At 36.4% G+C, this 25,630-nt stretch overlaps 1 protein-coding gene across 3 annotated transcripts in view, besides 1 other annotated feature; it reads left to right on the top strand.

The window, feature by feature from the left end:
• Window positions 1–25,630, top strand: part of ASZ1 (ankyrin repeat, SAM and basic leucine zipper domain containing 1) — a 64,272-nt gene that overhangs the window by 11,335 nt on the left and 27,307 nt on the right. The window lies entirely within an intron of this gene.
• Window positions 15,465–16,664: a DNaseI hypersensitive site, noted in NCBI's record as "DHS-79.5kb or -79.5 kb or -80.1 kb site observed in multiple cell types; the nucleotide coordinates are approximate for this feature". NCBI's record gives the evidence for it as "EXISTENCE:in vivo cleavage assay evidence [ECO:0001075][PMID:7540005]".

Below are 25,630 nucleotides of genomic sequence, written 5' to 3'. Positions count from 1 at the left end.
GCTGGAGTGCAGTGTCAGATCTCCGCTCCCTGCAATCTCCAGCTGCCGGGTTCAGGTGATTCTTGCCTCAGCCTCCCAAGTAGCTAGGCCTACAGGTATGCCACCACTCCTAGCTAATTTTGGTATTTTTAGTAGAGATGGGGTTTCACCATGTTGGCCAGGCTGGTCTCGAACTTCTAACCTTAAGTGATCCACCTGCCTTGGCCTCCCAAAGTGTTGGGATTACAGGCATGAGTCACTGCGCCTGGCCCACTCCTTTATTTTACCTACTGAATTGTTTATTGAGAATCATGTTTGGTGTATGCTGTGGTTGTTTCCATTTGTTTTGCTTCAGCAAGCCATTTGTGTATGTGTACTAAACGTTAATATCACTGAATACCTTTTTTTGTTGTTGTTTTATATTTCATTTTTTTCAGTTTTCATTCTTTAATTTCATTTTTTTCAGTTTTCTTTCAGAGTTCCCCTTTATGTGCCAGGGATACATTCCAAGACCCCCTAGTAGACGCCTGAAAACATTGATACTACCAAACCCTATAAATACTGTATTTTTTCCTATGCCTACATATATGTGATAATTTATAAGTTAGGCATAGTAAGAGACTAACATTAACTAATAATAAAATAGAACAATTATAACAATATACTGTAATAAAAATTATGTGAATATGGTTTCTCTCAAAATATCTTATTGTACTGTACTCATCTTTCTTGGTGACCTGAAATGATCTGAAAAGATCTGTCAATCTGATAATTGAGACAGATCCGTCAGTGATAATTGGGTGTGTAGTATATATAGCGTGGATATGCCGGACAAAAGATGATTCATATCTCAAGTGAGACAGTACAAAATCTCATCACACTATTCAGGACAGTGTGCAATTCAAAAGTTATGAATTTTTTATTTAATATTTTTGGTCCTCAGGTTACTGCAGACAGCAAAACCACAGATAAAGAGATACCATCTCATGCCAGATAGAATGGCGATCATTAAAAAGTCAGGAAGCAACAGATGCTGGAGAGGATGTGGAGAAATAGGAATGCTTTTATACTGTTGGTGGGAGTGTAAATTAGTTCAATCATTGTGGAGGACAGTGTGGCGATTCCTCAAGGATCTAGAACTCTAGAACTAGAAATACCATTTGACCCAGCAATCCCATTACTAGGTATATACTCAAAGGATTATAAATTATTCTGCTATAAAGACATGTGCACACATATGTTTATTGCGGCACTGTTCACAATAGCAAAGACTTGGAACCAACCCAAATGCCCATCAATGACAGACTAGATAAAGAAAATGTGGCACATATACACCATGGAATACTATGCAGCCATAAAAAAGGATGAGTTCATGTCCTTGCAGGGACATGGATGAAACTGGAAACCATCATTCTCAGCAAACTAACACAAGAACAGAAAACCAAACACTGCATGTTCTCACTCATGAGTGGGAGTTGAACAGTGAGAACACATGGACACAGGGAGGGGAACATCACATACCAGGGCCTATCAGGAGATGATAGGCTGGGAGAGGGATAGCATTAGGAGAAATACTTAATGTAGGTGACGGGTTTATGGGTGCACAAACCACCATGGCACGTGTATACCAATGGAACAAACCTGCATGCTCTACAAATGTACCCCAGAACTTAAATTATAATAAAAATAAATAATTAAATTTTTATCATTTGATGGTGAACATTTCCAAACTTATTAACTAAATAGATACATTAAAGGAGTAATTCTCATCTGCTTTAAAGTTTATATTGCACCCAAATTTTGTTTTAAGTAAACATTTAAATTTGCTAATACTATTTGGATTCCTGGGTGTCAATGTTTTTTGCAAAAATTTTGTAGCTTCTTCCAACATTTCTTCTCTTTCATCTTGAAAGTGGCTTCTTGAAAAGGAAAAAACATCCCTTTAATGTGATATTATTAAGGTATCTCCATCATGATACCATGACAAGCATCTTCTAAATTTTGCAGTTCTAGAAAATCTCTCATCTATCGTTTCTTCAAATATTACATCCTCCTTCTGAGCCTCTGATTGTATATCCATTAGATCTTCTCACTGTATCCTCAATATCTTTCATTTTCCATTTTTCAGTCTCATTGTGCCATATTCTGGATTATAGCTTCTGATCCTCCCTCTAGGTCACTAAATCTCACTTCACCTTCTAATCTGTTGTTAAAATAATGGATTTAGTTCCTCAGTTTTTAAGAAATTTTTAAAAACTTCTAGATTCCCTCACAATTTTGGTCCAAATTATCTAACTTGCAATTACTAGAAATAGAAATCAGCATCTTCTAGATTTTTAAAGTTTATTTATAACTATTTTTGTGTCAGCTCTGTAATTCTTTCCTTCCCATGCAAACTTCTTTTTTAAAATCTTATTTAAAATAGCTTTGGAAATAGCATTGATTTAATTCATGGACAGCTTTCCATATGATATGTAGAACCACTTTGTTCTTTTATTATTTTTCTTTATTTTCTTTTATTTTTTCATTTTCCATCTGTGGGACTTATGGTAAAAACTTACAACTTGAAAGCCGTTTTTAAAATTAAGCCTCTAGGACACAAATTACATCTTATGCATCTCTTGGATCTTGATACTGACAATATTTAACACAGTGTACGGTATCTGGCAAATATGGAAATTTAATACTGGTTTATTTTGGCTTTAGAATTTGTTTCCGGGCTTTAGAATTTGTAAATGAAACATTTATTGAACATTTGCTGTGTAATAGGCACTGTGTTAATTGCTTGTCTGTGTAATACATTGTCTAAATAATCTTTACAACTCACTGATAAATGGTATGTTATTTTTCACAGAACAGAAAATTGGTGCTCAAGTATTTAAGTGCCTTTCAATGTAACAGAGGTTTGATAAGGGTATTTACAACAGTTTAATCTGAACAGGATCCACCAGTAGAATGTATTTATATTCTTCATCTTGTCTATATTTAGGATGTTTTCACAACAGTTTAAACAGCGTGACTTTTTATATTGTTGCAAAACATATGTTTGTATTAAACTTCCTGTATCTTTGGATTTGGGTTTTTTTTTCTGTCTTGTTCCCTAAATTATAGTTGAATATTTTCACTTAAAAATTCTACAAACTATGAAAGTATGGGAACAGAACAATGTTACCACTTTAATTTAGCTTAATCACCTGTAGGTCTGAAAAACAAGGTGGCCTTCAGTCAAATGAATTGAAACTTGACATAGTAAATCTTCAATTTAACCTTAAGTTTGGAGTTGGCATTTTTATTGTTAGAATGAGCCTTTAAAAAATACATGCAATTGACATTTTTGTTTTTAGAAATTGTGCGTTTCCCCCTAGTTTGCTGAAACTCTTTCTTATATTTAAAAAAAAAGATTTTTTTTTTACATTTAGAAGGTAATTTTTCTACCATATGTATTTGTTACATTAGGATTGCTCAGTCATAAGATAAGGGTTTTGTAAAGTGATGTGGCATTTTAATTTAAATAGATGCTTTTATTACCATTGATAAGGCAGAACACATTAATTAATGCCCTAGGTTTTGACGTAGTCATTGTGTAATTGTTAACTTGTTGAATGTTATTGCATGTTTTAATAAACAGAAGATACCTTTGGAAAAAATGTTGCCTACTTTCTCAGAACATAAATTTAGTTGTAAATGTCACAGGAGCAGTTTAGTAGATAAAAATGTAATTTTGGCTTACAATAGTAACTTGTTTTCTAGCTGTAAGTAAATGTGTGACATATCTTTGCTCTGAAAGCATAGACTGGAATTACAAAAATATTATTTCATAAAGAATTTTTAGAAATATCTTACTTAGAAAACATTACTAGAAATTGTCATTTATGTTGTAGTTTTTCTTTTTAGCCTTTTTAACCCTGTAAATAATCAAGACATTTTGTCATAAGATATTAAAATAATATGGAAGTCCAAGTAGTAAATCATGAGTCTTTGTTGATTAAAGAAATTCCTTAAATTCTCTGCCCCAGGATAGCTATTTTAAGTAGTTTGGTAAATGTCCCTAATCCTTTTTAAAAATACACATTTTCATACAAATGCACAGACACACAGTCACACACACACACACACACACACACACACACACACACACACTTCTTTTCACTTGTTTGGGATCTTTCCTTGTCAGTACATAATAAGTTTACCTCCCATTTTTTTAGCTGCTTAATATTCCTTATTATTAATGTACTGTAATTTATTGAACCATTATCATGTTGACAGCATTTAAGTTGTTTATAAATTTTATTCTTATTTTATATGGTGGTTAAGAGTACTGTCTTATGAACCAGACTGCCAAGGTTTGAATCCCAACTTTGTCATTTACTAGCTCTGTAATTGGGCAAGTTATTCATCTTTTCAGTTTCATTCTTATAGTAGGGGATAAAAATACCACTCACATCATAAAGTTGCTTTGTGTTTAGAACAGTGCCTAGCCACAGAGTAAGCATCAGATGTTTGTTTGCCATAACGATGATAATATCCTTGGTACGCGTTAATTCTGTAGAAGACTTCCAGAAGTAGAATTGCTCAAAAGGTTTGCACATTTAAAATCTTGCAAGTTATATCCAAACTGTCCTCCAAAAAGTTTTTTCCACTTTACATTTGTAGACCATGTGAAAGTATCCATTTTGTTTTTGGCATTCTTGCTAACATATTGTTAGGCTTTGTGGTTTGAACAATATCATGGATAAAAGTGAGCATGTTATAGTTTTGTTATTTTTCTGATTTTTAATTAGTTTGAACATCATTCCTTATGTTTTTAGCCTTTTATATATTTGTAATAAATTGCCCCATTATCATTTTAAAATTTATCTCTTACCTACATATAGGAGCTGATTTTACCTTTGTTAGCAGTTTTACCTGTATGCAAACAATGATAGATATCTTAGGGTTATCTTGCATATTTAAGACATATGTTAATACTGCTACTCAGATACCTGGAAATCTACCTGGACCTTTTGAAAGCATAAAATAGGATAGAGGTGAAGAAAGCCAGTTGATGAAAAGCTCTTGGCACTAATTTTTCAAAACACATGCACAAAAACCAAGATCACACACAAACACCTTTCAAATTCTGACTTGACTTTTATCTTATTAGTGTCTGGTACATGGTAGGAAATTACTATTTCTACATTGAACTCAATTCTCCATCAAATAGACTACCCTTTGATAAGTCTTATTGATTATAATAATGTTAACACACACTGATTAGTAGTGTATAATAAATTATACACTACAAAAATAAAGTAGATGTAATAAAATTATACCACTACCTCCTTATAAAATTAGTTTGTTTGAGAATTTAGCTTTTTTATCTTTGGCTATGCTTTAAATTCTAAATTTGAAATGACAGCTTAATTGCTTTCATTTAAAAATGTGATTTTTTTTTTCCTCTTACATCTTTTAGGAAAAAGGCTTTCCATACCCTGTCCTGAAGTACTAATAGCTGATATCAGTGAACTAGTGTATGAGTTTATAATTTATTGTTTATAAATTGTCTAACTTTAGTGTATTGGTTTTCAACAGTATAATGATAACCAGAAATTCTCAACAAGAATCCCTCCAAAAAAACTCTGCTATGCTTGAATAAAACCCTGCTATACTTTCTTTGTAATTTTTTACATTGTTTCATCTGCCATTTTATTGTAAAATTGTATTATAATGGCAAAATAGTCATAATTTTCATTGTTAAAATTAAGCAAAAATGTATTTTGAGTTACGCTATTAAGAAAAATTGAAGATTACTTATTTGTGAATGATCTTGGACTCAGAATTTATGTCCCAAGTCCTGTTACTATAAGCTTCATGACCTTGCTAACTTCTGAAACTGAACTTTTATTTTTCATTTATGGTATAAGATAAGAAAATTTGTTTCACTGATTTTGCTGAATTCTTGTGACAGTCAGATGCAATATCATGTAAAATTGTTTTGTAAAAAGTGTTGCATATAAATATAACAAGTTTCTAAAAAAATGGCTGATGCCATTAAAGAATCACACTTTAGTTATGACTGTACTACTAAGCAGATACCAGGAGTACCTATTAATAATTAGGGATAGTATGTTTTCAAGGAAATAGTAAAAATAAATTATCTACATAAAAAGTTTACACATAAGAGATATGTTACACAAAATTATAGAAGTATTTATAATAAATGTGTAATCCCAAAAGAATTAATGAAAATTTTGCATGTTCCTAAAACAAGCAGTAGGATGATTAACAAGCAAAGTCAGAAATATGGTCCTCATCCATTCCTTAATTCTAATCTAGTTAAACATGCATTTTCTAGGTGAGAGAGAACAATATTTTTCTTTCTTGGAAGCATCACTTGGATTTGTTTAACTCTTCTTTTTAATCTTTTATGGAGAGGAGGTAGTGAAGTTTCTTCTTTCACATAATAAAAATATGTTTTCATATGAGTGTTTTAGCTCGTATACATATTTGTTTTCAAATTTTGCTAAATTTTATGCATCCTGGTAGTTTTTCAAATAACTGACAAGGTCCCCCTTAATTTGTATGTTATTCATTTTTATTAAACAGATAACAGTGTCATTAAATCTTGGAGTATCTTGTAATTAACATTCCCTATTTGAATGTGTTCTTCCTGAACATATAGTAGAATTCATTTTTCTTTATCCCTTTTTGGCTGGCTAAAATATTTTATTTAAAATAAAGCAAGGGACTTTTCTGACACCTTATTTATATTTTCAGTGACAAACTGTAAAGGAACACTGACTTAAAGCAGATTTCTTTTTTGCTAATATGTTTAACTTTTAACTATTAGAATTCTGAATAATTTTTTAAAATAAATTCTTTCCTTGTTTTACCTGTTCTTATTAGAGCTGTTAGCATATCAAAACTGTGGTTCACACAGTCTTTGAAAAGCCATGTTTTGCCTAATTATTGTAATTTTGCTTTAAATATGTTTTAAATAAAATAATATAATGTGGTTAAAGGACCCTTTGTATCCTCCCCAATCATATTCCCTTTCCTTCTTTCTTTCTTATAGAAGCAACTACAGTCTTGTAATTTGTGTGTATTTTTTCTGCCCAAGTTAAATTACACATATGATCATCCATCTGTGCGTGTGTATATAATCATCCATAAACATTATATAATGCCACTTGACATACTTTTTATTCCACTTACTGAGATCTAATTTACAAAATGAAATGCACAGATCTTCAGTGTAGATTTTTTATTGTGACACATATACCCATGTAACCCACATCTCTTTCAAAATATAGAACATTCTTCCTCACCCTAGGAATCTCCCTTAGGCCCCTTCCAAGATAATCCCCTGAACCCAGAAGGCAACCACTCATTTTTTTTTCCTACCCTGCATTAGTGCTGTTTACTACATTATGCAGTATTGTACTTCTTAATGTCTGAATTCTTTTGCTCAGCATGTTTTTGAGAACCTATGTTTTGTGTATCAGTAGTTCATTTCTTTTTATTGCTGAGAAATGTTCTAATGTTTGGATATATTAAAGTTTGTTTATTCTCCTACTTTGCTTTTCGTTATTAATATCTAGCTGAATTCCACTATGGTGAAGGAACATATTCTATATTATTTCAGATCTTTGAAATTTGTTGAGATGTTCTTTATAACCCAACCTATGGTCAATTTTTGCACTATAAAATAATGTGATTTGGCAATGGTTGGGTGTAATGGTCTACTGTGATACTGTGATATAATAAATATATATTTGGTCTTTGTCCCCTGGTTCCTGGCACAGCTCCTTCATGCCTTGTAATTTATTGAATGATAGGGGTGATCTTTTGAATGATATAAAGCATGTTTGGTTAAAATATTTGGTCTTAACCACTGGTTCCTGACACTAGAACTTCTGAAAGCCTTGGAATCTCCCAAATGATAAGAGTCTTTAGACATCTCATACTAATGAGATGACTGGTTGTGGGGGACGGAGGCAGAAAGACCAAGACATGATTAAAGGGTAGAAATTTTTAACACTACCCCCTGACCTCCACAGAGAGAGGAGAGAGACTGGAGATTGAGCTAATTACCAATGGCGAATGATTTAACCATTCCTTCATAAAAAACCCTAAACTGTAGGATTTGTAGAGAGCTTTTGAGTTGGTGAACATGAGAAAGTACTGGCAGAGTAGCATGGTGAAATCTCACACCATCCCTCTCCTTCCCACCTGGGAGGTAAATTATCTCTTTGTTCAGTGTATCTGGACGAAGACTCTATACACACTAACTGCCCGTTCGTCATCTACATTATCTTCTGACATCCAACCATTGACATTGTCGTGGCTTGATAATGTAGGATCACCAGAAGCAGATGATCCTCCTTCTAATGTATTGTGTATACATTACAGAAGGTCAAAGTAGCTTAACACTATGTCACGATGCCTGTCATTCACCCTGCTTCATCTCTTCACATAGGCATTTTATCATTACATACCATCACAAGAAGAAAAAGGGTGAATATAGTACAATAAGATATTTTGAGAGAAAGATCACATTTACATAACTTTTATTGAGTATATTATTGCAATTGTTTTATTCTTAGTTCCTGTTATCTCTTACTGCTCCTGATTTGCAAATTAAATTTTTTCATAGGCACATATGTATAGGAAAAAACATAGTATTTAAATGGTTCACTACTATCTGTGGCCTCAGGCATCCACTGGGGGTCTTGGAGCATATCCCCCATGGATAAAGCAGGGACTACTGTCCTGATTTTTTTTTTTTTTTACTTCCGTGTTCTATCAGTTACTGAGATTTGCATTTTGGTCAACTTTTCCTTACATCTTTTAAGCCTCCTATATCCCTGATGCATTGACCTTTTACCTTTATGAAGTGTACCCCTTTGTATGTAGTAATTCTTACTTCATTATAATATACTTAATCTAATATTGGTATAGGTATATCAGCTTTCTTGAGCATGTGTATAGTGTTTTTCCATATTTTTGCTTTCAGCCTTTCTGTGTGCTTTTATTTAAAGTAAGTAATATATAGTTCCCCTTTTTTAATCCAGATTGATTGACAGTAGTTTTCTTTTCATTGTTTAGTCTACCTGCCTTTAATGTGCACACTGATCGGTGTTTCATTAGTCAGTGCTCTTTTTTCCCAGTTCTGATTATTTTTTGATTAATCAAATATTATTTTTTATTATTCCATTTTCTATCTTTCTGTAGTTATTCGTTCTTTTATTATTCTTTGAGTGGCTACCCTAGAGATTATAACATACATTCTTTACTTATTAGAGTCTACTCTAAATTAGTACTTTTAACAATTCCTGGACAATGCAGGAATCTTAGAATATTTTAACCTCATTTTTGCCCATTCCACCCCTGTATTTGTGCTATTGTTGTCATATATTTTGAATCTATCGCTATTTTTTTTTTTTGAGATGGAGTTTCGCTCTTTGTTGCCCAGGCTGGAGTGCAGTGGCGCAATCTCGGCTCACCACAACCTCCGCCTCCCGGGTTCAAGAGATTCTCCTACCTCAGCCTCCCAAGTTGCTGGGATTATAGGCATGGACCACCACGCCTGGCTAATTTTGTATTTTTAATAGAGACAGGGTTTCACCATGTTGGTCAGGCTGGTCTTGAACTTGCAACCTTAGGTGATCTGCCTGCCTTGGCCTCCCAAAGTGCTGGGATTATAGAAATCTATCTCTATTTAAACCTCACAATTTATTATTAGCATTTTAGTATTGCTATCAATTATGTTATTATTACCAACTTTTATTTGGATTTACCCACATACTCATCTTTATGGCTCTCTTCATTCCATCCTCTATTTTCATATTTTAAACAGGGATTTAATCAGGGATCATTTTTCTTCTGAAAACCTTTTTTAAATACATCTGCTGGTGACTGTGTTTTTGTTTCAAAGCATTTTTATTTTGAATGTATTTTTATTTTGCTTTTCATTTTTGAAAGTTATTTTCACTGGGTATAGAATTCTAGGTTAGCATTACTTTCTTTTGGTACTTTAAAGCTATCATTTTGTTGTCTCTTATTTTTACTGAAAGCTTCTATGCCCGACAGCATTAACTCAAGCATACTCTGATAATGACCCTATGGTCTAAGGAGAGTATGTGTTTGGAGTTCTGAGCTAAAGAATCTGGGAGTAGCCAACCTAGAGATTCACTTCTTATCTAAGAAGGGCATCTGAACCCCTGGCCCATTCCTTGGAATACAGGCCATACAGGGGATTCAGACCCTTTGTTTTGGGTTAGATGGAGGTTGCTAGGTGGAGATTGCTAAGTAAAAATTCTGTGTAACTTGTACACTTCTTAGAAATAGTTGCAGTTTTCCTAATCAGCCCATTGCTCCTGGACCACCTTATGTATGTCTTTAATAAACCCTATGGCTCGTTCACTGGCTTGGGGTTTCCTCTTCAGCCTCTCAAACATGGTGCTATCCCTATTTGAGTCAGTAGAGGTCCCACACAACAATTGGCAATCCAGCTAGGAAGTTGGAAAGAATCCTGTGAGCACCAAGATGATGCGATCAGGGAAAAGGAAATCCACAAGGGAAACGCTGGGATGGCCATCCACATCTATGTGAGGCCCAATGACTGCTATCCTTGATGGATGAGGCCCACTGCATGAGTATGGGGATGCCCTCATAACATCAAAAGGTCTGGAAGAGCTGGTGCAGGGGGTAGATCCAACTAAGTGAAAGTCACATGCCCACGCTGTGATAGCCATAGTTCATTGGCAGCTCCTGTGTGTCGAGGAGCCGTGGAGGCTGAGGTCACTGCACAGGCAAGGGTGCATCAGTTACAAGACAAGCTGTGATTAGAAAGAAATGCTTAGTTAGCTCAGACTAAAATGTTGGAGACCTAACTGTCCTGCCTGTGCAAACAAAATGACAGAATGGACACTCTGGCTTACCACGTAACTCATTTGAAGAGTCTTCAACTGTCAGGCTGACAAGTTAGGGCTGTCAGGAATAAATCATCCTGGGACACTAAGTCCTGGGACCCCATGGAGAGCTCTAGTGGGAAGGAGGAAGAGGACTGGGATGAGTCCATAGAGGTTCCCATACTGTCTGCATGTACATTGGCCACCACCAAGGTAAAAGTGGACCCCACAAAAGGAAGCCCCTCAAGACTTGCCCTGCCTGAAAGAGGGCAGCACACCACAATGTGGTATTATACCACTGTGGAACTGGGAAATAGGTTCAAACAGAAGGGGAGAGAGTCAATCATAGGGTGGTTTCTCTGTCAATGGGATGTAGGGGTAGAGAATACTATACTCTCTAGATTCGAGATGAATAAAATGGCATCCATCACAAAGCACCTGGTCCTGAGGCAGCATTTCTATGGCACCAATCATGGGGATCAGACCATCCCCCTCCTTAGCTGAGTGGTTGTGGGCTTCAAGGGGGCCTGGCCAAATGAGGGAGACATCTCCACATCTCCTTTGCAATGGCAGACTATGAAAAAGTTGCAGGACCTCCTCTGGGAGTTGGGGATGAAACATGCTATTAATATTTATGCTAAAAATCAGCACGATCCCAAAAGTGAATTGGTTACTGCCAGAATAAAAGAGAATTCTGCAGTTGACACCTAAGTAGTGATATAGGATGCCAGTTTCTGTCTTAAGCACCCTAATATGGAAGCCAGTATCCTGGGCAGCCCAAGTGACCCTCGACTTAAGGGAAACAAAAACTGCATAAGTAAGAGGTATGCACTGCTGGATGAAAGACAAAGGAGTCAAAAAAAAAAAAAAGGAAACAGTCAAGGGGCTTATCAGAGTGATTTGCCAATAGATGTAGGCAACCTGCTAATGGCAGGGATACCTACTGAAAAAAAAAAAAAGACAGCCTAATACTGTTTGGGTTAGACTGTAATAAAAACTCAAGCCGGAGCAGCACTTCACTAAGGAGCCTCAGGTTCAGCCCACCACCCCTCCCACAGAGAGATGGCAGGCACTAACCCCTTTAGCCTAAGATAAAGGCCAAGGCCTCAGAATCCCAGTACAAACAGTGATGGCCAGGGACCAGAGGCCTCATATAAAAACTATATATAGGTCACCTAAAAATAGACTGTGCTTGCTCTAGTGCAGTGGTCCCTCACCTTTTTGGCACCAGGGACCAGTTTTGTGGAAGACAGTTTTTCCTAAGACTAGGGGCAGGGGGATGTTTCGGGATGAAACTGTTCACCTCAGATCGTCAGGCGTTAGATTCTCATCAGGAGCATGCAACATAGATCTCTCGCATGCGCAGTTCACAATAGGGTTCGTACTCCTATGAGAATCTAATGCCACCACTGATCTGATGGGAAGTGGAGCTCAGATGGTAATGCTCGCTCACCTGCCACTCACCTCCTGCTCTGCGGCTCAGTTCCTAACAGGCCACAGACCAGTGCCAGTCTGCTGCCTGGGGGTTGGGGACCCCTGCTATAGTGGATACTGGAGCCAAGTGCACTCATATATGGTAACACCTATCGGTTCCAAGGACCTATAACAGCAATAGATAGTAAAGGGTGATGGGGAATGAGGTATAAATGTTGAACTAGTATTACAAGTTGGGAGACTGTCACGAAGACCCTATTTAGTATATATAGCTCCTGTCCCAAAATACATCTTGGGAACGAGTATTTTGTCAGGCTTGACCCTCCAAACTGCCAAAAAATTCCAACTGAGAGTTAGGATGACAAAACATAATCACGGTAACACAAAATGGACACCAATACAGTTGCCCAGCCCCATAGCAAATAGTAGTGCTGAAGCAATACCACTCGTGAGTGGGGCTTGGGGGCATGATAAAATCACAGAAAGTATTAAGGAGTTAGCCCAGGTGGACATTATAAGGCCAGTAGTGCACAGCCCATACAACAACCCTGTATGGCCTGTGCAAAAACCTGACGGGACTTGGAAAATAACAATACATTACCAGAAATTAAAATATCACTTCCCTTCTGATGAAAATAGGACAGGTGCTTGGTACGTAACGTTTTCTTATTAATTTAACCAAGCCTTCTTCAGCATCCCCATTGCCCCAAAGACAAGACCAATTTACATTCACCTAGAAAGGAGAACAACGGACCTTTACCATCTTGCCCCAAGGATATTTACATAGCCCCACTATCTGTGAGGGTCTAATGACCACAGACGTCAAATGTCAGTCGATGGACTACCCTGGAGAGGGTACATGTTTTCCATTAAATTGATGATATCATGCTAAGTCTTTTTCTACCTCACAAACTGCAGCCCCACCTTTGGGTTAGTAATGGAGGTTGCTAGTCCCCACCTTGCCGTCTCGCTTGGCAAACGGAGTATGGGCAGCACAGACATTTAAGGGTCCAGGTTTATTAAATATTCGGTGTCATCTGGTTGGGTAAGACTAAAGTCAAGTTGTTCTTTCTGCCATTATAGATAAGGCGTAGGACTACCCGCGTCCTACCACACCAAAGCAGTTGCAGACCTTCTTAAGCTTTATAGGGTATTAGTCCTTTTATTCCCCATTTGGCCCAACTCCTCAGGCCCCTATACCACTTAGTCAAGATGGGGGCTCACTGGAACTGGTCCACAGAGAAAGATGAGGCCTTTAAACAAACTAAAGTCATAATGAAACAAATATAAATTCTGGAAACTCTAGTACAGGGACAACCTTGTGAATTGGACATAGCCAGTTACCCTGAGGGGTGTGCCATTAGGGTTCTAGTCCCAACTATGGAAGGGGGCTGAAGCTAAATATATCATCATGGAGCAACAACTCAATGCTAAATATCACCTCTTACAACATGCCAACGTGACAAAGGGGCTCCCAGTGCTGGTATGCACTCAGTATCCCATAGCAGTTTGGTTAAAGGATACCTCCCGGAAACCAAAGTCTGGGAATTCCCAGAGACAGATGTGGCCAAATAGCATACATACTTGCAACATTAGGCTCCAAACAAAGGGAGCACATCAATAGTTCCTTAAGTGCAGAGTTCCATTTGGTGCTCAGCCCTGTCACCTGTTTGACAACTGAAGGACAGTCTTTGATTGAGGTCACTGAGCCAGGTTTAATTAACTCTCAAGTGCTTAGAAAAACCTTCAGTACAGTATGATTTCTAGTATGTTCGTTATTCTCTTTTGTTAATAGTTTGTATTGCTGCCACAGCATTTGGCTGCACATACTGCTCCTCCACATACCTGGCCCCCAAAAATCACTCAAAAAAAACATGATAAAAATATGAGGGCCATTCAAGAATATGCTGAGATGGAGTGAATGGCAGATGCACTTTACAGCAGTAACTCCAGCATACCCTAAGAACGGCCGTATGGTCTAAGTAGAATGTGTGTTTGTGTTCGAGCTTCCAAGCTAAGGAATCCGGGAGTGGCCAACCCGAAGATTCACTCCTTACCTATGAAGGACATCTGAACCCCTGGCCCATTTCTTGGAATGCAGGCTGTACAGGGGATTAGAGACCCTTTGTTTGGGGTTAAGTGGAGGTTGCTAGGTGAAGATTGCTAGGTGGAAATTACAAAGTAAAAATGCTATGTAACATAAATGCTTTTTACAAATGGTAGCAATTTTCTTGTCCAGCCTGTCACTCATGGACTGCCCTGTAAGTTCTCAGTAAACTCTATGTCTCATTTGTTGATTCTGGGTCTCTCCTTCAACCCCTTAAACATAGTGCCATCCCTATTGGAGCCAGTAGGGGTCCAGCACAACAAGTCAGCTGTTACTCTTATTGTTGATTCTTTGAAGGTATTAGATTTTATCCTCTGGTTGTTTTTAATATTTTCTGTTGGTCTTTTTTTTTAAAAAAAAAAAAACAGCTTTGCTATGATATCCCTATGTATAGTGGGGTTTTGTTTTTGTCCCACAGGAATTCTTAAATCTGTTGTTTGATGTATTTCATTAGTTTGGGAAACTTTTCAGGCAGTATGTCTTAAGATACTGCTTTTTCTTCATTCTCTCTCCTCTCCAATTGAGATTTAAACCATTACATCTATATCCCATTTGTTTCTTAACACTCTTTTCTTCCTTTATCTTCTCCATATTCACACTGGGTATTTTCTTTTGGTCTATCTTCCAGGCCATTAATTCTCTTCTGTAGCTAATCCACTATTAAACCCATCTATTAGCTTTTCGATTTCATTAATCTTGTTTCTTAGTTCTACAATTTACGATGCCTGGTAGCTTTTGGTTGAATGCTGGATATTATATAAAACTTTGGTACAGGTCTGTTTGCTTCCAGAAAATATTTAATTTTCTTCTGACTGATAGTTGGAATAAGGGCAGATCACGTCAATTAAATCAAGGATTAAGATGGTTCAAGGCTGGATTTCAGGATCAGTTTATTTCCTGTATTTTCCACAGTCTCAATTCAAACTTGGGGTGTTTATCTGAGCCACTCTCCCTTTGAGGATCATGAATGCCAATTTTTATTTCCTCTGCTATTTGTGGGAATGCTCAAAGCCCTCTTAGCATCTAGTTTTAGCTTGGTGGTTGTAGTCTTCTTCAGCCCCTGAAAATACTTTGAAGGCAGAAGTCCGACAGAAGATCACTTCTCTGCAGGGTCACCTTTCTGTTACTCCCCTTTTTCCAGATTCTTGATTCTTGAAGTTCTCAGTGCTTTAGTAGACCTGAACTCCAGTTTTTGTGTTGGAGTTCCCCATCACCATAAGAAGGCCTAAAGTTACTGCTTTCTGCTAATGCTACCCATTAGCACTTGCCAATGCTAATTGGCAAATGTCTAAAAGCAAAAAGTGGAAGAGGATATAAAACTCAATTCACCAAATGCTGCTTTTCTCTCCAGGAGCTTGGCTTCTCCTGTTCTGGCAACCTTGGTTTTTCTACTGTGTCTCCAGGCATATTTGTATTTTATCAGCTTTTACAGTCTTTTTCAGTGGGAGGTTTGATCTAACAAAACTTTTCTGATAGCTGGAAATGGATATCTAATTCCTAGCATTTTATCATTGTCGAAATTTCCTTTATCATAGTTGTTTCATTAATCTCTCAACTATAAACTGAGTGTATTAAGCAGATTAAAAAGATTAGATAATACCGAACTATATGCAAAAATATGACATGAAGACCAACCATTTTACCCCAGTACAGAGACGTGACAAATACATCATTGTGAAAATATATTATTTTTCTGTCAGATTGAGTTTTGCTTTCTGCTTTTCTTTGAATGCCCTCTAGTGGAAATTTTATTGAAATGAAATAACCAGAAATTGAGACTAACAAAAGGTTCTGTATCATCCAGAAATAAAGTTTAATTATGGGTACATCATGTACGTAAACTTTATTCTTTTTAACCAACTTTTATTTTTTTAAGTTTTATTGAAATACAATTACATATTGTAAAGCTTAAAGTGTAGAATTCAATGGTTTAAGTATATTTACGGCATTCTGAAACCATCACCATTATCTAATTTTGGAACAATTTTATCATTCCCCAAAGAAACTTAATATGCATTGGCTGTCATTGATTCCCACCCAAACCTCCCAGCCCCCACCCCTTAGCAACCACTAATCTACCTTATAACTCTATAGGTTCGCCTGTTCTGGACACTTTACATGTAGCCAACTCTTGAATGTAAAAAATTTTGAGGAAGCCTGGTAGATGAAGAAAAAAAATCACTTAATGTCATTGATTTTTAAAATTGGTTTCTGTTACACAATTAATACATGCTAAACGCTAAGAGTTAGAAGATGAAAGACTCAGTCCTTGTGTCAAGAATTTGACAGTACGGAAGAGATTCCAAGGCTATAGGCATTTACAATATAGGAAGATTAGAGGTAGTAGAAAGTGTCTCTAGGAACAAAAACTGGGAAAACTTAACTGAGATGCAGATGACAAGTGAAACCTTCCTAGAGGTTCATTCCTCAAACTTAGTTGTTTTTTATTGTTTGGTTTTTGGGGTTTTTGTTTTGTTTTGTATTTTTTTAGCATTTAGTTTCAGCTTCGTTCAGTTTTGAGACACAGTCTTGCTCTGTGCCCAGGGTGGAGTGCAATGGTGTGATCCTGGCTCACTGCAGCCTCGACCTCCTGGGCTCAGGCCATCCTCCTGCCTCAGCCTCCTAAGGAGCTTGGACTACAGGTGCATACCACCATGCCTGGCTAATTTTTTAAATTTTTTGTAAAGACAGAGTCTCACTATGTTGCCCAGTCTGGTTTCGAACTCCTGGGCTCACATGATCCTCCTGCCTTGACCTCCCAAAATGCTGATACTACAGGTTTGAGCCACTGCGCCCAGCCTCAAACTTAGTTTTGAAGGATAAGTAGGAGTTAGCCAACTGAAGATCATAAAAATGAATATTCAGTTTAGAGGTAGGTGCACGTGCAAGTGGAGAAGGAGGAAAGAGCCTGTTTCATTTAGGCAGTTGTAAACAGTGTATCTAGAAATATTTTAACCAGCTCATGAGATATTAGAGTAGAAAGTGGGTCAGAATTGATGCACTTTGGCAGAGGCTAGATAGTAACCTGTGTAATCCTACTGAGAGATACGAATTTTTATCATGAAAGCTATTGAATAATTTAAGAATAATGAACATACTAGTATTTTGTAAAGGTTATTCTGACAGCAGATGGAGGATAAATTGGAATCAAGAAATCCAGTTAAAAGATTATTGCAAGAGCAACTAAACAGTGTTTCATCAGCACTATACCTGCCAGTATGTATAGAGATACTTCTCTCTTTTATAGTGGCTGTACAATATTCCACTGTATGGATGTGATATCTTAATCCAGTATTTCATTGAAGAACACTTGGATTGTTTCCATTTTTTTAGTTTCACAAAAAAATACTTCAGTGAACATCTTTGGCAACTTGAATAGATTTTTTGATAGAACACATCTCTAAAGTGGAGCTGCTGAGACAAAGGTAGATGTGTATTTATAATTGTGATAGTGTTATGGGAAGATAGGCCTTGAGCGTGAGACATCCAGGTTCTTGGCGTGTTGAACAGAGTTGAGCAAAATGCACAAAGTAAGAAAGGTACGAAACAGCGAAAGTAGGGATATATTGAAGCGAGATAGCACTCCATAGGATAGGAGTGTTTTAAGCAGATTAAAAAAGATCAGATAATACTGAACTGTATATAAAAATATGACATGAAGACCAACCATTTTACCTTTAGTACAGAGAAACAAAAATACATCATTTGTGGTTCAGGGGCCCTGCTCACAAGGTTTTCTGGGGTTTAAGTACCCTTTTTGAGGTCCCTATTGGCTACCCACTATGTGGATGAAGGATTTGGCCTGTGGCCGATTAATAGCTGAGGTGAGTTCGCCTGTGGACAACCAGAGGCCAGAGTGGACTGGCACCCTATGCAGATAAAGGGATAGCCCATGCTTGGCCCACAGCCAATCCATGGCACTTTCCCTTTCCACCTGAGACTTAGTGGAACAGAGAGGCTTGTAGGGGGAGTAGCCTCTGATCCTTTGTTACTAGGCTGTGGAGAGATGGGGATTTTTCTTTTGATCCTGCTTTAGGAAGTTAGCATGAATTGGCCTTATGTTCTCTGCCTTCAGACCCAGGTGTTTTCCTCCAGCTTTAGGAAATTAGCACGAATTGGCCTTAAATTCCCTGCCTTCAGACCCTATTCTCCAGCCTCAATAGGTGTTACCAAATCGTCTTCTGAAAAAATTGAAAACATTTACACTATCTCCAACAGTACTTGAGAGGACATACATAGTGACAGCACTAGATATTTTTTATGTTCTCAGCTTTACAGTTTGATTGCAAGTAATGATCCCTCATTTTAGTTTGCATGCTTTTTAATAATAATTGATTAGTCTTGCGCATTTTTGTAAGTTGTTTGTATTTCTTTGTCTACTAATTGCCTGTGTACTTTGTAGTTTTGCTGTTTGGTGGTTCACATGTTTCTTACTGATTAACAAGAATCTTTTGTATATTGGATCTTTTACTTTGGTTTTTTATTGCGTTTGGTTTGGTTTGGTTCGGTTCGGTTCGGTTCGGTTCGGTTCAGTTCGGAGACAGAGTCTCACTATGTTGCCCAGGCTGGTTTTGAACTCCTGGGCTCAAGAGATACTCCTGCCTCAGCATCCCAAGAAGTTGGACTATAGGTGTGTGCCACCATGTCTGGTAGGTATTTTTTAATTCTTTTAGGTATTTTAATTATTGTTATTAAATTAAATAATTTTATTTTTAATTAATTTAATTATTTTAATACATGTTGTAGATGCTATTTCTAGTTTGGTTTTTGTTTATGCTTTAAAATTTTTTATGTTGTGATTTTGAATGCATTTTTTGAGAAAAAATGTCAGAAAGATAACTTCCAAAAAAAGTGTTAGGCTCAGAGATTTTAATAGGTTACTTATTTTAAACTTCCAAGGAATAGATTACATTAATACTATCAAAACCTAAGGGAAAAAAAAGCCTTTCATTTCTTGTTTATAAAGCAAACATAACACTGATTCTGAAATCCAATTTAACAAAGATCCACTTAAAGAAGTCTTACAAATCAATCTTAGTTATGAACATGGATACACAAATCTTAACCACTTGAAGTATTAGCAAATTTAATGTTATCAGCAAAGTAAATGAATAATATACTGTGATCAGATTGATTCATGTCATCTATACAAAAATGGTTCAATATTAGGGAAACAATTACATAAATAGGTCAGAGGATTTTTGAGGTGGTTATCATTATAATAGATGCCAGAAAGATATTTTATAAAAGTTAAAATCTCTGATTTTTATAACCTTAGTAAAATATGATTAGATGAGTAGCTCCTTAATTTCGAAAACATATATCTGAAGACAAAACAAATTACACGTTTAATGGAGAAGCTAGCAGCATTTGCATTAATGTCAGCAACAAGGAAAGGATGCTTGTTGTAAGCACTTTTAGTTTTACCATTGTTTTGGGAACTGTAAGGCAATTCAGTTATGCAAGAAAAATACAAGATGTAGTTAATAATAAAAATACCTATTAATGACTGAGAATTTACTTTGTGCATGGTACTGTTCTTTGTTACTGAATATTATTATCTCATCACAGATTGTGATACTAACACAAATAGGTGTCACAAATATAGAAACTATTTTATGCTCATATAAAGTTGTAGAAACTGAGGCAGTGAGAGTTTAAGAAACTTGTCTAAGCCAGTAAATGTTGAAAGCTAGATTTGACCTAGGCATTCTGACTCCACAGCTTAACATTCTAAATCAGAGGTTGGCAGACTTCTTAAGTTTCACTGGAACACAGCTGTGCTCATTTGTTTATGTATTGTCTATGGCTATGTTCATGATACAACAGCAGAGTTGAGTGGTTGTAACAAATCCCTGCATGCATCACAAAGCCCAAAATATTTACTGTCTTGCCCTTTACAGAAAAAATTTGCTGACTGCTGATGTAAACCATTGAACTATGCCTCTAATTAAACTATTACATCTTTTTTATTAGGAAAAGGAGAACAAAATCATAATTTTTAAATTATATTAATATATACTTGGTAAACCGAAAATAGTCAACTCAGAAATAACAATCATACAGTGTAGTAGTTTTTACAAAACTAATGTGCAAACTTCATTTGGTTTCCAACTCACAAGAAACGAAAAGCTTGAGATTACAATTTGATTTAAAAATGTGAAAGGTCTAAATGAAGAAAAATGTAAAACTACACCAAGTAAAATAAAAGAAGATTGAATATACACGTCATGTTGGCTGGATGTTGGTTGTCATCTTGACTAGGATGAATCAGTATTTAAAAAGACATTTTTAAAAATCTAAATATATAGAATTAAACATCGTATTCAGAGTGCCAAACAGATTGTTTTGACTTGATGAAATGATTCTAAAAATTCTGGAAGAAAAACATGACCAAAAAAAGAATTTTTGGAAAAATAGGCTTATGAATTCAAGCTCTTAAACTGAGAATATGCTAAAGTCTTGCCCTTCCACAGAAAGCTTTAGATACAAAGCTATTAAAATATTTTGATAAAGTTATTTTTGAAAGAAAAAAGTTATCTCTGGAATGGAAAAAGAGTCGCTCGCCAAAGAAAGAAACAGATGGGAAACTCTAGCAATACCTAAAATCTGCATTACTGATAGACAAGGTTATCTTGTCTTCTGTGTTTGGAGGCCTTTGCCATAGACCAGAAGGTAGGTGCACAACCAAAAATCACCAAAATCTGAAGAATGTAGGTGTCATGAAACAGGGACAACAAATTCAACAAAAGAGTGACTTAAACTAGAGAAAGTGGGAAAAATAGAGGAATCTAAAAAGGCCTTTATTCCTGAACAATAAAAGAGGGATTTGCCTTCACAAAATAACAATAGAAATGAAAAAACAAGCACAGTGAATTATGAAAAAAGGAACTATTGAATATTAAAACTAAGTATTTGTGTAGAAGAGGTAGAAGAGTAGATGGGACTCATCTGAAGAGCTGAGTAGTGGACTAGAAGATAGAGGTGAGGAAATCTCCAAGAATACAACACAAAGGGCTAAAGAAATGGAAAGTATAAAGGAAAGGTAGAGACATGGAGAACCTTTCCAGAAGTCCTAACATCTGTCAAATAATAATTCCAAAGGAGAACATGGAAGATAGACTATGTTTGAAGCAATAAAGACCAAGAATGTTTCCCAACTGAAGACAAATTGGTAGGATTGAAAGAATCACTGAATAAAGATTTATATACAAATAGATAAATATATATACATTTTTAATTAAAATATGTAGACACATCACAATAAACTTCAGAACATTAAGAATGAAGGCAAAAATCCTAAAAGTTAACTACAGAAGAGATTATTTACATATCAAGAAAATTCCTGTCAAGAAATGACCATCTTGGCCAGGCTTGGCTCACCACTGTAATCTCAGTACTTTGGGAGGCCAAGGTAGGAGGACTGCTTGAGCGCAAGAGTTTGAGACCAACCTAGGCAACAGAAATTTTAAAAATTAGCCAGGCATGGTGGTGCATACCTGTAGTCCTAGCTACTCGGGAGGCTGAGGTGGAAGGATGGCTTGAGCCCAGGAGGTCAAGGCTGCAGTGAGCTATGATGATGCCATTGCACTCTAGCCCGAGTGACAGAGCAAGACCCTGTCTCCTAAAAAGGGGGGCCAGGGTGGGGGAGAGTATTTATGATAAATTTGTATTAAATTTCCATCATATAATAAGTTTGGTGTTCTAGTAGCTGAGGAGAGAATGAAGCAACATAAAAGTAAACATCTCTTTTCTCATGAAACTATGTATAGTTATTTATTAACTTTTCTCTTTGTTGAATAGTAAGGATAAGCATGTTGAAGAGAAGAGGACTTAAGTACTGTACTTGAAGAAAATAATGAAATTAAAAGCTTTCAGATGGAGTGGGTGGGAGTGAAACTAAGAGAACTTGATCAATCTAACAAGGTGATTCTATGTCCAAGGAGACATGGAAACATGTATTTATTATGGACGCATGATAAACAGAAAGTGCAAAAATGTCAGAAATAAGTCCAGCCATATTAATAACTAAGAAAAGTAATATAATCGGTAAAACTCACTTATTAAAGTAATAGTAACTCTCATATTGGCTAAAAGCAAAATCTAGTGAAGTCACACCTAAAAATAAAACATTACATTAGAGTGGAAAATAAATAAAATGATTTTTTAAATGCCATTTATTCAGCAAATATTTATACCTGGTAAATATCAAGATAAAAAAATACCCCTAGGGTAGTAAATAAAATGCCAGGCAAACATTACTTAAGGGACCAAAGAGAAAATGATATTGATAGAAGCAACAATTTAACAAGATAGTTTTAATATACATGGCTTTTAAATACATAGAACAAAAACTAGTAGAACTAAAAAAAGGAATAAAAAATCTATAATCATATTTGAAGACTTTAGTATATCTCTTAGAAAAACAGATTAGACAAAAAATAAAGATATAGAATAACACAATCAACAAGAGTATCTAATTGATATTTACCTAGAATTCTGACTTTAACATAATTTACATGCATGGATTATTTTCAACAGAAGTTATGTTGTAGACCACAAAGAAAGTCTTTTAAGAATTTTTTTTTTTTATGCTACCCAGCTAGGCTCAGTGGCTTATGCTTGTAATCCCAGCACTTTGGGAGACTGAGCTGGGCGGATCACCTGAGGTCAGGAGTTTGAGACCAGCCTGGCCAACGTGGTGAAATCCGTCTCTACTAAAAATACCAAAAATTAGCCAGGCATGGTGGCATGCGCCTGTAGTTCCAGCTACTCAGGAAGCTGAGGCAGGAGAATTGCTTGAACCTGGGAGGCAAAGGTTGCAGTAAGCAGAGATTGTGCCACTGCACTCCAGCCTGGGCAACAGAGTGAGACTCCATCTCAAAAAAAAAAAAAAAAGATATATCTTAATAATTTCTGGTAATTTCTGGATTAATTAAAATAGAACTGGTAAAAGTGACAACACAAGGCCTTTATATCAGCACTTGTGTGATTCAGAGAAAGCACAGAGGAAATTTCCTCAGAGGAAAAATAATTTTAAATTCATTTATCGGCAAATTAAAACATTGTATGAACAGTATGATATTATTAATGTTTAAAAATGCCTTTGCTTATTGTATTATTCTATACCTGGAAAACCCTAAAGATTTCCCCCAGAAGACTCCATAGACCCCTGTTAAATAACTTTAGTAAAGTCTCAGGATACTAAATCAATGCACAAAAATCAGAAGCATTTCTATATACCTATAATGTTCAAGCTGAGAACCAAATCAAGAGTGCAGTTCCATTTACAAGAACTGCAAAAAATGAAATAATTAAAATACCTAGGAATACATCTAACCAAGAAGGTAAAAGATCTCTACAGGAGAACTGAAAAACACTGCTGAAAAAAAGGATTTTCCATTCCTTTTTTAGAATACATCTAACCAAGAAGGTAAAAGATCTCTACAGGAGAACTGAAAAGCATTGCTGAAAGAAATTATAAATGACAAACAAATGAAAAAGAATTCCGTGATCACAGATTGGATGGAAGACTGCAGTATCATTAAAATATCTGTACTGCCCAAAGCAATCTACAGATTCAATGTGATTCCTATCAAATGACCAATGTCATTTTTCACAGAATTAGGAAAAACTATTCTAAAAGTCATATGAGGCCGGGCACAGTGGCTCACACCTGTAACCCCAGCACTTTGGGAGGCAGAGGGCAGACAGATCACCTGACGGCAGCAGTTCAAGACCAGCCTGACCAACATGGTGAAACTCAGTCTCTACTAAAAATACAAAACTTTGCTGGGCCTGGTGGTGCACGCCTGTACTCCCAGCTACTCGGGAGGCTGAGGCAGGAGAATCACTTCAACCCAGAGGCAGACATTGCATTGACCCGAGATCATGCCACTGCACTCCAGCCTGGCAACAGAGTGAGACTCTGTCTCAAAAAATAAGAAAAAAAAATATGAAACCAAAAAAGAACCTGAACAGCCAAAGCAATTCTAAGCAAAAAGAACAAAGCTTGAGGCATCACATTACTTAACTTCAAGCTATACTAAAAGGCTGCAGTAATCAAAACAGTATTGTACAGGTACAGACATAGACATGTAGCCCAATGGAACAGAATAGAGAACCCACACCAACAACCAACTAATCTTCAACAAAGTCAACAAAAATAAACAGTGGGGAAAGGATACCCTATTCAGTAAATGGCACTGGGAAAACCGGATACCCACATGCAGAAGAATGAAACTGGATCCCTACCTCTTACCATATGCAGAAATCAATTCAAGATGGATTAAAGACTTAAATGCAAGATTTCAAACTACAAAAATCCTAGAAGAAAAACTAGGAAATGCTCTTCTGGACCTTACCCTATGCAAAGAATTTATGACTAAGTTCTCAAAAGCAAATGCAACAAAAACAAAATTTGACAAGTGGAGCCTAATTAAACTAAAGAGCTTCTTCACAGCAAAAGAAACTATCAGCAGAATGGGAGAAAATATTTGCAAACTATGCATCCAACAAAGGACTAAATATCCAGGCTCTATAAGGAACTTAAATCGATAAGAAAAATAACCTCATTAAAAAGTAGGCAAAGGACATAAACAGTCACTTCTCAAAAAAAAAAAAGACATACAAGCAGTCAAGAAACATGAAAAAGTACTCAACATCACTACTCATCAGAGATGCAAATCAAAACCACAATGAGGTACCATCTCACACCCTTCAGAATGGCTATTATTAAAAAGTCAGGCCGGGCACAGTGGCTCACACCTGTAATCCCAGCATTTTGGGAGGCCAAGGAAGGTGGATTCCAAAGTCAGGAGGTCAAGACCAGCCTGGCCATGATGGTGAAACCCAGTGTCTACTAAAAATACAAAAATTAGCCAGGTGCAGTGGCAGGCGCCTGTAATCCCAGCTATTCAGGAGGCTGAGGCAGGAGAATCGCTTGAACCCAGGAGGCAGAGGTTGCAGTGAGCCAAGATTGTGCCACTGCACTCCAGCCTAGGTGACAGAGTGAGGCTTCTTCTCAAAAAAATAATTAAAAGTCAAAAAATAACATGTTGGTGAAGCTGCAGAGATAAGGGAAACGTACACTGCTGGCAGAAGGTAAATTAGTTAAACCACTGTGGAAAACAGTTTGGAGATTTCTCAAAGAACTAAAACTAGAATTACCATTTGACCCAGCCATCCCATTACTGAGTATATACCCAAAGGAAAATAA

Source organism: Homo sapiens, chromosome 7 (genome assembly GCF_000001405.40).
Source record: "Homo sapiens chromosome 7, GRCh38.p14 Primary Assembly".
Classification (NCBI taxonomy): Eukaryota; Metazoa; Chordata; class Mammalia; order Primates; family Hominidae; genus Homo; species Homo sapiens.
The sequence above is the reverse complement of the archived record's forward strand: the minus strand, read 5'-3'. Positions and strand labels throughout refer to the sequence as shown.